The sequence below is a fragment of the Homo sapiens genome, chromosome 2 (genome assembly GCF_000001405.40).
Source record: "Homo sapiens chromosome 2, GRCh38.p14 Primary Assembly".
NCBI lineage: Eukaryota > Metazoa > Chordata > Mammalia > Primates > Hominidae > Homo > Homo sapiens.
The window spans coordinates 138,545,687-138,559,280 of record NC_000002.12 but is presented as its reverse complement, the minus strand read 5'-3'; the positions used below and the strand labels follow the sequence as shown (position 1 = coordinate 138,559,280).

The following is a 13,594-nucleotide window of genomic DNA, read 5'->3' as shown; positions in this document are numbered from 1 at the left end:
TGTAACAAGATTATGTATCATTATTTTATGCATAAATGCATTTTTTTAAATGTACTATATTACCCCATAACTAGAAAGTACCTGCAAGCACAGATTTATGAGCTTTAAATTCTTGTCCTCTCACGAAAAAACTGCAGTCTGTAAATCTTGTGTTTTCCCAGAGATTACCTAAATCTTCTGCTAGACGACACTCAGGCACCTTCAAAGTATTTGTATTAGTATGTCCTGATATGTTTACTGAATCTTGGACCACACTCACCTAATAAAAAAGGGACAGCAAGAAAAACACTTTCACAAAGTAATATCAGTAATTAGTTTAAGTCCATACTTCAATTTTTTATGTTTAAGCTTATTTGGATAATTCAATGTACTCCTAATCAAAATTTCTAATATCCAGAAACTGAAATTAAAAACACAATTTAAAGGAGAGAAATGAAAAAATTAGAAATATAGATCTTTTTCAATTTATTCTATGTAAATAAATGGCTTATCAATTGGTTAGAATGCTTGATTATTAAAGTAATTACAAAAATATTTCTCAATAGAAAAGCCACAATATGATATAAACTCAAACAAAAGTACATCTTTGTGAGGTGGAGAAAAAAATTTTTTTTATTTTCTTACACTTCAAACCTACCTACATTTAAATTTTACTATATGTACATAAACATAGTATTTTGTTTAAAAGTCAAAATGACTTTTTACCGTATAAAAAGTGATAAAATTACAGCCTATGATATGCAAATTGAGAAGTTTTTAAAGTGTTATTCCTAATGTTTCACTTCTAGTAAAACTAATTTAAATACATATTAAACTGATTTAAATTTTAAGGTACAAAAACTTCCACAAAAGCAACTGTAATTATTAAAGTTCATGAAAATCTTTTATGGAAGATCAACAGCAAGAGCAACATAATTTAGTTCGATTTGCAGACTTTTATTTACTTAAGAAATAATCAATAAAAGGTATGATTACAGTATTATTTTTATGGAGATTCCAATATAATATGGATCAAGTTATTTCCCATAAAAGATGACCACATACTGAATAATATCCTAAAACACTATTAAGTCTTGCACACCACTTTTTAAAAAAATTTATTTATTTATTTTTTATTTTTGAGACAAAGTCTGGCTCTGTTGCCTAGGCTAGAGTGCAGTGGAGTGATCTCGGCTCACTGCAACCGCTGCCTCCTGGGTTCAAGTAATTCTCCTGTCTCAGACCTCCTGAGTAGCTGGGATTACAGGTGTGCACCACCACACCCAGCTAATTTTTGTAGTTTTTAGCAGAGAAGGCATTTCACCATGTTGGCCAGGCTGGTCTTGAACTCCTGACCTCAAGTGATCCACCTGCCTTGACCTCCCAAAGTGTTGGGATTACAGGAGTGAGCCATACCACCTGGCTGCAGACCACTTTTTTAAAAAATGGATTCTACTATGCTATTAAAAATTTCACATTACATTTAATACATGTAAAAAAATACACTTAAAGAAAATACTACTTTAACTAGTAAATGTTTCAAAGTAAATGACTTTTTTAAAAAACAAAACAAAACAAAAAGTGCTACATTACTTATCTACTGCTGTTTTCAACTTCTAAGTTTTGGGATCATTTGTTACACAGCAATAGATAGCTGCATTAATTTAACAATATTTCATTAGGCTTTTATTAAATAAAAGTATAAATAAGGACACACATATATACAGTAAACTATGCAGAAAACAGAATCATAAATAAATAAATTTGCTAAACTACCAATATGCTAACAAAGTCTAATAATGGTCCAATGTAAAATGTTTGGAGAAGATTAAGTCTTAGAAGTCCCAATACATCCAGACATACAAACATATATCTCATGTGAATGAATACACACTTCTAAAGAAAAACTAGAAAATCTTTATTTTTCTGAGGATATTTTTATTAACCGCTTTTGCCCTCAATTTACGTATTAACCTTTTGAAATCATATGTGTCACAGAAATCATCTAATCTATTCACCTTATTTTACAAAGAGATTTCAAACTGTGATAAAGACAAGGTAAACAAAGTGTTCCAAATCACACTGTGCTGGCTTGTACCAAAGGAAGACTAGACCTAAATCTCCAGATTCTTTTTTTTTTTCTTTTGAGACGGAGTCTTGCTCTGTCGCCCAGGCTGGAGTGCAGTGGCGCGATCTCTGCTCACTGCAAGCTCCGCCTCCTGCATTCATGCCATTCTCCTGCCTCAGCCTCCCGAGTAGCTGGGACTACAGGTGCCTGCCACCACTCCTAGCTAATCTTTTGTATTTTTAGTAGAGATGGGTTTTCACCGTGTTAGCCAGGATGGTCTCGATCTCTTGACCTCGTGATCTACCCGCCTCAGCCTCCCAAAGTGCTGGGATTACAGGCGTGAGCCACCGTGCCTGGCCCAGATTCCTTTCTTTACGGCTCTTCGTACAATATTTTTCTGATATTTTTAAAAATTAGTAAAATTAACACAATTATGACCAATAAGCATTTATTACAACAATCTTAGGAGATGTTTCTCTAAGTATGGGAGCCACAAGATATTGTATAAATAAATAAATCTGCCAATAAAGGTGCTCCTATCTTATCAAGTTTTTAATCAAGTTATGTCTAAAATTTTAATAACTATAAAAAAGTTTCACTAATCCTTACCCAACTGCCCTGTTCTACTACACATTATAACCTAATGATATAGACACAAAAAATGTTGGTGTTAATATTCAAGGTTTCGTAAGGGATCAGGTCTTTAGACCCTAACAGCATTTATTTGTTCATATCAAGCACTGCTCTTGAAATTTCTAGACAGAAAAAACTGGATCTGTTCAATGGCTTGCATGATACATACAGCAGAGTTACAAAATGTGATGATGTATTTAATTTCAGAAATGATTTCTTGAATTCTACTCACTGTCTCTTAAATTCAAAATAACGTATTTAATGTAGAAATTTGGCAAAAAATCAGGTAATAAAAGGATTAAAAAATAAAGACAATATTATCAGACACAGATATTGATGTTATATTTGTATTTTGTATAAGCAAGAACAATTCAGAAGATCTGTATTACTGACATACCTATCTACACAGTATTATCACAGCAACCACAAATTTTAACTAAGACACATAATTAATACTTCATACTCCAAAGAGTATTCAAGAGACTTCTTATAGAACATAAATTAATGATCTAATTAAAAATTGACATATGCAATGGATTCTGATTATTTTCTTGACACCTATATTTAAGAAAATGTTAAAAATTTGGTTTTATCTATTACATACTCAAATGCAGGTAATGAATGCTCTTACTGAATGGAACCTAGAATAAAAAATTCAGGAAAAAGGCTGAGATTCTTTCCTGAGGTCAAAGTTATGCTTCTTTCAAAAAAAAAAAGAGGCAAATGTGCAATCTTCAAAATTGTTAAATGTTGCAAAGCAAAACCTCAAAGTCATTTGACAGCCCTTTTTCAAATTTGCTTTTGGCTCAACTCAGAGAACATAGTTTAGACAGACAAGGAACATTTGAGGGATCTAATCTGTGACTATCCTGAAAAATTTGGGTCTCTTCTAATGTAGAGCTAAGGTAACTATTGGTTCCAGTTTTCGAAATCTGAATTTTCCAACTAATTCTAAAAGCCAGGAATTTCCAATGCTAAATAGTACTACAATTTTGCCATTTTAATCAACTAGCCAAACACCCACCACACCGGCTCCAAAGTGAGAAACTTTTAACAGTCGAATTTCACATGAATATCTTCCAGAATAGCGAGTTTTAGACTTTTTGATTTTCATAGATTGGTGTCATTTAAAAAAAAAATCTGGTGACAGAAATAGGGTAGTCAACTTTTCATTTTGCCAAGAAAGGGCTTTTTAGAAAATAAATCCCAACTTCCTCCCACTATCATATATAATTATTTTAAAACAGAAAGGCTCTCTGCTATGATTTGAATGTATTTCACAAAGATCATATGTTGGAAATTTAATACCCAATGCAACAATGTTGACAGGTGAGACCTTTCAGAGGTAATTAGGTTATGAGGACTCTAACCTCATGAATGGATTAATGTGTTTACTGAGACAATGAGTTTATTAAAGCGAGTCTGGCTCGCACACACACACACACACACACACACACACACACACACACCCTCCTACCCTCCAACAACCCCCACTCTTCCCCTCACCTCTTCTGTCTCTTTCTCACCATGTGATGATGTCCACCATGTTATGATGTGAGAAAAAGGACCTCACCAGATGTAGCCTCAATCTTGGACTTCTCAGCCTCCAGAACCATGAGCCAATAAAAATTCTGTTCTTTTAAAATTACCTAGTCTCAGGTATTCTGTTAATGGCAACACGAAATGGACTAAGACACTATCTTAGCAAAAGATAAACAGGATGGGAAAAAAGATGTGTCCTTAAAAAGGAGCTAGTTAAACCTCATGAAATACTTGTTTATATATATTTTATCTGTACATACATTTTTCCTGTATATCATGAAATGGTATGGGTCTGTAGACTGAGTATTTAAAATCTGTTGAATTTCAAAAGATAAATTAAACTAACCAGTTTTCTAGTTTTCCTACTTATTTCTCAATTCCTATTTTCTGCATCACTTTGGGAAAGAGGGCAGAGCTGCTTACACTGCTACCAATCTCTATCTCTGGCTACTTTAACCACTGTAGGGAACTTGCAAGATTAAGTTACGCTTTGTGCAAAAAGGGTAGCACCCAACTGCCTTACCTGTCTACAGCACCACTTGCAGGGGAGGGGGAGGAGGCAGTTCTTTAGGAAGGGTAGTGCAATGCTTCCTCCTCTTCTGCAAGCAGTGCTGGAGATTCTGTAGAAGGAAGGGCATCCGTGAGCGGGGTGGAACAAACAGTGGAGGGCATGAAGAATGTTAGTTAAAAGTACCTTTTGCCCACCTATGCTAAATACGGTGCCCAGGGTATAAATACCTATATCAGCAAAAAGATGTATATTTCAGGATCCAAAAATGAATCTGATTGATGCCAACTTTAAAATATATGTCATGTTGGGTTTTGTTTTTGGGGGTCACTAGCATGTAGCATATGGATACCAAGCATACAAAAAAAAAATCTTAATTTCAGCCTTATTTCTGAATTTCTTGGTTGTCTAGGTTCCAGCACAGTGTACTTAGGAAAATATCTGCAAACACTATTTCAATTCTAAAAAAAAAAAAAAAAAAAAAGGTATTTTCTAAAAAGGTTCATTTCTAAAACTATTTTAGCTGGTCATTTTTTGTTTTTGTTAAAAATTGGATTAAATAGCCTTTAAGATCCTTTCTGTTCTAAATTAACATTTAAACAATTTACATGTGGAAATTTAGGATAACTGCTAAAATTCTGGAAGACTCTACAGTAAGGATGCTAAAAATTTTATATAGCATAACCTATATTTATTTAGACTACTACTTAGAATATCTGCTGATCAGCAACAAATACTGTTTTCTTCCCAGTTATTTAATGATAAGACTTGTGCTATGTGTTTGTCAACCAAATAATTGTATTCATAATAAATTCATCATACAGTTCATTTAACTTGTCTAAGTAAAAAATAAGATGCAATTATATAGTCTCTGGAGGCATATTTCAATTATTCTTCTGACATAATGTCATACAATTAGTTTGTAATCTTGCCAAGAAATCTTATACACTTACTATAAAAAGATTACAGCTTATAGTTAAGAAGTTATTATATTCCTAAGACACTCATCTGTCCATGATAATCTGTTGAAATATATCTAATGTTGAGTACATGATAAAAATCTTTTCAACTATCTTTCTTATGAAAATTATCAACTGCCTTAAACATTTTGATAAAATTGTTACTGATGTATATTCTCTATAAACTGTACAGGTTAAAAATATAATCCTTGAATTCAGTCCAAAGGTGAATCTCAAAAATTCATATAGATAAAACTACCTAATGATAACATGACAAAAGCAAATCCAAACATCAAATTAGGACAAATCATAAGTGTACATTATTGGCAGAGGCAATGCTAGTAACTTTCAAAATATCCCATTCTATGCACATAATTACACCTTATAAGTTTGTCAATAGACACGGGCATATCTTAAAAATCTGAGAACTATTTCTTAGAATGCTATTTAATTAGATTAATCCAACCGCCTGAACAATCAGAAAGCTTCTCAATGTTTTCCAGGTACTTCGGGTTCAAACTGATAAATTCTCAGTAATAATGTTTAATACAATCAATCTGAAAATTTTTTAAAAATTGACAATCTATGTCAGTTACTCAGAATGAAGAAAATATTTAGGAATGTTCACATATTCACATTCACAATCTTTTCAAGAGGAAGAAGGATGTAGTATGTTGTAGTATAAGTGTACACACAAATTATAGCTAGAAATATGACAGAGTGTTTCCAGACTGGGTCATTACACTGATTTGTGTCAAGAATTTTCTAAGCTTTTTCTAGTCAAGAATTTACAAATGAAACTCAATCAACTATACCAATTACTTAATTTTAAAGTGTTATTAATCCAGTTTATACTTTTGCCATATCACTAAATAAACCATGGGGTTCTTAGAATAAAAGATGTACCCACCTCACAAAATAATGTAAGCTTGTCATCTGGTAAAAGACCATTAGCTTCATCAAGCAAAAAGTCCCTTCTAATGAATTTTTTAAAACCCCAGTCCTTCCCTTGCACAAATCGATATGCTCTTTGGCTTTCTGGTGGAAAACAGAATAGAGTTTAAATAAAATAAATATCCAAGAGACTTTTTAAACATGGTAACACAGTTAAATAAAATGTGTGAAAACAGGACTTGTCAATACATCCATCATAAAAGTTACCGATATTTGTGTTTATAAATCAAATGTCATAAGAGTTTTAAGTCAGGTAGAAACAGTAACTCCATATGCCTACTCAATTTTGGCCATTGTCAATGAGCTCAATTTCAGACTTCTGGATCTCAAATAGAAAAGTCAGATCAAATCACATGGAGAAGGAAGAGATCTTTTTAACAATCTAAGATTGGCCCTAAAAGACAATGAAATAGGATCAAAATATGTTGGTATAGGCACACTAATCATCTAATATCAGAATCTGGTAAGAAACATACATCTTATTTCCTGCTTCTCCCTTCAAAAATGGATGTTCTAAATATCAAGGCATGTTTAAGCTTTCCTGACATACCCATCCCACCGATTTTTTATTCAACTATAGAAAAATCCATGAACCTGTGAAAAAGATAAAGAAAGTCCTTTATCATTCCTAAGTCTCTAGACATAACCTCCTCTCCCCTAAAAAGAATTTTTCATAAAAGTCCAAAAGATGCTTTTTGTGTAATTTGTAATAGATTTAATAAACATCTGAAGCAAATATTTCAAATGCCTAAGGTAGTCTATAACAACTATATACTAGGCAGTAAACAAGATCCTCTACAGAAAGTATTCATTATCTATTATACAAAGAATAAAATGGAAGTGGAAAATTAGTAATCAATCTACCTGAAATACTCCACTATCTTAAGGTGAGACAATGTGAAAATATATATTATTTTAGCAATACATTATTTAAAAATGTATGTGAATGTGAATTTTCTGTAATCAAGTTACTTGATTCTGCGATTCATTTCTAGAAAATATTATTCTCCTGCCACACACAACGTACATTTCCTACATCACTCTTCTATTATGAAGCTCAGGCTACTGCATTTCAGCTGGCTATATATGTGAATTTTGGACTGAAATTAATAGGCCCTGAAACTAAGAAAAATGGCTCCTTTCAGTCAGTGTTCAATCTACTGCTCAAAAAACTCTAGTGACAAAGTATCAGGGCACTCTATCTCTTTCTCATTGTTCTTCAGATTTTATTACCTGGCAAAAAAAGGCAAGAGAGAAATGCTTCCTGAGCACGTATTATATATGCCAAGCACTGAACCAGGCACCTTGCCCTAACAGCAACTATTTTTCTAAGTGACAACTGGATGTCATTTTAGGACATGAAGAAGTAATATTATTAATCATTTTTACATGTTTTACGAAGTCTAAGACTCAGTAAAATAATTATAGCTCTATGCTGGATTTAAATAATGGTCAAATTAAAAGTTTCAGGTTAAGCAGATTTTAGCAGAAAAAAGTCCCAGACTTTTCTAGGTAAAGGTGCAGAAGAAGTCATAATATGTAGTTATACAGAAATGTCTTCACTTAGTTTGCAAATCACTTACCCATTGCTTTTGTTTCTTCCCTTTTAGCATTCAGAAGGGAAAATTTGAATTTTGCTCGAACTTCACTTTTGGGGCAGCTGACTAAAAGCAAATATAAGGACAAGTAGTCTTTACTTTCATCATCTAATCCCTTTGGGTTTACCCTCAGGCACCTAAAATAAAACAATAAGCTCACATGGAGGAATATAATACTTGAAAAGCATTCGAGAGAGAGAGAGAGAGAGAGAAAGAGAGAGAGAGAACACTGAAATCATGTGTTAATGTCACAAACAGCACTCCTGTCAACATCCTCACAGTTCTTTATAATTCCCCACACTATTAGGAACATACTACCAATCTAATATGAAATTACATTAATACTCATTCAGGAAAAATGATAACAAAATCATGAGCAGCTGATGATCACATCAAAAACAAAAAACAAAAATTCAAAGCAAACAAAAATCTTACCATTTCATTTTGTCACTTGGGCCAGATGAAAATGTTGAACTTTTTAACACTTCACCCATTTCCTCTCGACAAAAACTGAAGTTATTAATGGTCCACATATAGGAAAATTTTACTACTTTAACCTAAGAGATTCAGAAAACCACTTTTATAATGATGACGGTAATACTTTTAACTTGTTACATGTTCAACATCCTACGATCCAGTCTTCTAACACTTCTAATAACTATGGCAAAGTGTTTCACAATACTATTCTCAACATACTGTAAAATTTATAAGTGACATAAAGTGAGGGATTTTTAAGAGCATGTACCTGTGTGTAACACCAGCTTTCTGCTATGGGACCAGTAGACATATCTCCAGGTAGAGGTGGGGTGGGTTCCCGAGACATCACCACTTTATTGTAGTCTTTCAGGATTTATGTAGTACCCCACACAGTTGAGTACCTTACCTACAAAGGAAAGAAGTTTGATGTACTGATTAAAAAGTTTAAACGACAGAATCAAGAGGGAAGACATATTTAAACAGACATGAAACAATTACTATCCCAAACTAGATTATGAAGGAACATGTGAGAATTTTAGATAAATTTAATGATTTTAAGAAGTAAGTTTTTGTAACATGTGACACTTGAAATCTAAACAAACTTAGTATTTATAGATAAGATTATTTTGTAAAGGCATGTTCTCCAAAAAATCACAAATTTTAAAATAACATATAGTTTTAAGAGCATATACATAAAATCACAAAATATCATGGAAACATAATGACATCAGTTAATATCTGGTTCATCCTCCTTCACCTTTTTATTGACATAGTCATGAAAACCAAAAGGTTTGCAAAGTTAGAACTATAAATACTAGTTACCCATCTGTCAGACTCCAGAAGTTTTCGTCAAGTAAAACATAGAATGGAATGTAACAGGCAATGAATACTCTGTAAGAAGAAATACAGACTTTCTACAAAACTCCACGTCTATCTCAGACAACAGGTTCTCTGATAAGACTTCATCCCTAACAGAGTGCTTCTTGCCGAGACGTACTATGTCATAAAATTTCCTCCCAGGTAGCTGTTCTTGTACTGTATCCAATGGTATGCATAATTACCTCTTCATAACCTAACCAGGATATTAGTGACCAGATGCTGCTGCTTTGTAACTTACTAAAAGAGGCACAATCAGAATAAGCTACATAAGTAGTGCACTCTGGAGGTGTAAGAGGGTTTCAAGATTACATGACAATATATATACTGAAGTCTGCAGAACCCTATGCTACCACAGACAAAACAAGACTTTAAGACAAAAATTGTTATGAGAGATAAAGGATATTATATATTGATAAAAGGGTCAATTCATCAAGAAGGTATGACAAGTATAAACATATATACACCACATAATAGAGCCCCAAACTATATCTAGCAAAAACTAACAGAATTGAAGGCAGAATAGACAATTCTACAATAATAGTTGGAGACAGCAATACCCAACATTCAATAATGCACAGAACCAGGAAAATAAAAAAAGAAATAGGAGACTTGAACAGCAGTGTAAAACAACTAGCTAGACCTAACAGCCATTTCACCCATCAACAGTAGAACACACATTATTTTCAAGTGCATGTGGAACATTCTCCAAGACAGACCACTATTGTTTTCTACAGACTTGGGAGTAGAAACAGGAGCAGAAACAAAAGTTGAATATTTATTTTAGGCAAATTCATAGTTAATTAAATAAATGTACTGAAAGAGTAATGATTATTAGACTTATCTGTTAGAAAAATCTCTAGTAATATATGAGAGGGATGTGTCCTGGTCAATACTTTTGCCAGTGACTGTAAAAAAACCTGACAAAATAAACCATTATGACCAATTTCAAAAACAGTAAACAAAGAAAACTATCTGAAATGTATATAGCACATATAACTAATTTTCTTAATATATGAAGAATTTTTACAAATAAGAAAATAAGCAAATAACTCACAGGAAAGAAACTTATAATTAGAAAAATAAAAATTAAAACTAAATTAAAAAGCCACTTTTTACCTATCAAACTAGGAAAAATCCAAAAGATGAGTGAGAGTGTAAGAGGAGAGGCACTCTCATACTTTTCTTGTGGGAATATAAATAGTATAATAATCTCCCTTATTATTTCATAGTGAGATTTCTGGCAAGAAGGGAATGACGCTAAAATACAAGCTACCAATTTCTAAAAGTATAAAAATGCAGATGGTGTTATTTGATGTCCATGAAAGCATTTATATGTTTTCTGGCAACTTGCATTGATTTCAAAAACATTCACACACACACAAAAATGATGAGATGAGCAAGCATTTCACAGAAGAATGATTACCAAAAAAAAAAAAAAAAAAAAGTTTACCTTCACTTGTAATCAATGAAATAGAAAAAGAACCCATAACGTTTTCTACCTATTGCACTGTCCAAGATTATTTTAAACCGTCAAACCCTACAGCCAGCAAAATTGCAGAGAAGCAGACATCACTATACTGGGGATAAGGCTTTGCTATAGATCAATTTTATAATTAGTATCAAAAGAAATTTTGTCAGATTCATCCTGTAAATACATCCTAGGAAAATGATTATAACTGTGAAAAAGATAATTCTGAGCACAGTATATTTCTGCACTATTAATACATGGAAAATGTGCAACCATTAAGAGTGTATTAAATTTTCTTAATGACAGGGAAAAGTGTTCAGGATATGTTATATATCTAAAAAAAATCAAACAGTATGCCTAACAAGACATTGCTTTTATAAATATAAATAGTATATAGAGGTACTGGTGCATAAAGAAAAACAGACTGGCAGGTGGAGGCACTGAGTTGCACTTTGGCATTTCAGTGATAACGTCAAATACATCTAAATATTAAAAGGTTATCTCTGGCTGATGAGATTTTTTTCTTATTTTTATTTATTCATATTTCATAAATGTGTTATGTTTTAATTAATACAGAAATATAAGTAATTATTTTTAAAAGTGGAAAACATGGTTATTTTCAAACTCATATGGACTACAGAAAATACGTAAGATCTTGTGTCTATGTTACTGTTTAAGTAATAGATCCTGGGGTAGAAGGTAAATTGAAAGAAATCAAAGAAAACATTAACCTGAATCTTTAAGCTTTTATAAAAAGATACTATTATAATTTAATACTAACAAAAAACATAAATAAAAAACTTTTAGAAACCCTGGAGGGTAAAGAGAAAGTTCTTCAATATCTCTAGAAGAGTTATTATCTTCCTGAAGTATAACTCACAACAGACCTCATATATAAAAATATACTTCATATACACTTCAAATGTAATTCATATATAAAAGCAAACTACAGTCAGGCACGGTGGCTCACGCCTGTAATCCCAGCACTTTGGGAGGCTGAGGCAAGCGGATCACTTGAGCCCAGGAGTTCAAGACCAGTCTGGCAAACATGGTGAAACCCTGTCTCTACTAAAAATACAAAAATAAGCCAGGCATGGGGGCGGGCGCCTATAATGCCAGCTACTCCGGAGGCTGAGGCAGGAGAATTGTTTCAATCTGGGAGGTGGAGGCTGCAGTGAGGCAAGATCGCACCACTGCACTCCAGCCTGGGCAACAGAGTGAGACTCCATCTCAAAAATAAAATAAAATAAAAAAAATAAAAGCAAGCTACATAAAAGATTACAAGGATTTCTTTGTTTTTCTCTCCAGCTTTACTTCAAAGGATGTAGTTACAAGATAAAGGTATGGAGAATCTGAGTGAACAGACTGTATGTGTGAGCACTTTACAAGATATTATATATGTTGTTCATTCTTCAGTAGCTCTGTGAGATGGGTGTTAATACACCATCTTAATGATGAGAAAAGCGTTTAGAAAGCTTACTTTAAAGTAATTAGAAAATAGATGAACACAAATTTGCCTGGCTCCAAAGTCAATGCTCTTTCCATAGAATCATGCTGCCCTTCCATATTTTACAAAACTTAAACAGGCCTTACCTATTGTTCCAATTCTTATTTTACAAATGAGGACTGGCACAGAAAATAATAACTGTCCAAATTTACACTGTTGAATGAATATTAGAACAAAGAACAAAGACAAAGATCTCCCAAAGTCCACTTCAGTGCTATTTCCAGGATTCTATTTTTTTCTTCCTCTTCATAAGAAGAAAAATGAAAATAAAAACAGCAGACTATCAACTACCTACTAACATTCAGGCCTTCCTATTCTCATTCTTACAGAAAAAGGTTGCAGAGAGGGTACAATGAAACTAAGATCTAGAGAAAAACACAAGACAATCAATCTATATACATCAACAAATAAGTAAAAGATTCTCCCCTATTCCATCATATAAACTAGTCTTAAGCATTTCAAGTGTGATATTTCCTACTTTTACTTATTAAAGGGAAAGCAAGATTTGTTATTCAAATAAACATACACAAGACTTTCTACTTCAACAAAATGCTTCAATGTCACAATGTTTTATATATGTCATATAGACACACACAACTATCTAATTTTATATAAAAATCTCAAATATTCAGAAAACAAAAAAAGAATCACATGTCAAACAATCATGTACCCACCATCCTGGTGTGTCCCTACCACCATCATGTTTCCTCTCTTTACCAGAAGTAACCTGTATCCTGAATTGTTGATTATCATACCAATAAATTTCTTGACATTCTTTAAAAATATCTATGAATCACTAAACTATATAGGTAGAAATTCGTAGATATGTAAAAATGTATATACACATAGATGTCACAAAATAGTAGAGAGCTCCAAAACTCCATCCGTCCACAAAAGAAATGAATAGCTGGTGAAATGGTCAGAATCAGCTTGTTTGAAACTCTGGAACTGAATCAAAAACTTAACAGCTGGCCGGGCGCGGTGGCTCACGCCTGTAATCCCAGCACTTTGGGAGGCCGAGG

The 13,594-nt window shown here is 32.9% G+C and overlaps 1 protein-coding gene across 3 annotated transcripts in view; it reads right to left on the bottom strand.

The window, feature by feature from the left end:
* SPOPL (speckle type BTB/POZ protein like) overlaps nt 1-13,594 on the bottom strand; it is a 71,778-nt gene that overhangs the window by 14,267 nt on the left and 43,917 nt on the right. The window contains exons 2-6 of one of the 3 annotated variants that reach the window (NM_001001664.3): nt 8,987-9,124; nt 8,677-8,798; nt 8,227-8,378; nt 6,600-6,727; nt 82-259 (exon numbers count right to left, since the gene is read on the bottom strand). In NM_001001664.3, the coding sequence (NP_001001664.1) occupies nt 82-259; nt 6,600-6,727; nt 8,227-8,378; nt 8,677-8,798; nt 8,987-9,064 (658 nt within the window). In that variant the 5' untranslated portion in view covers nt 9,065-9,124. Of the gene's footprint in view, nt 1-81; nt 260-4,745; nt 4,843-6,599; nt 6,728-8,226; nt 8,379-8,676; nt 8,799-8,986; nt 9,125-13,594 lie in introns of those variants that run through there. The other 2 variants (XM_047444116.1, XM_047444115.1) reach the window with 2 other exon arrangements.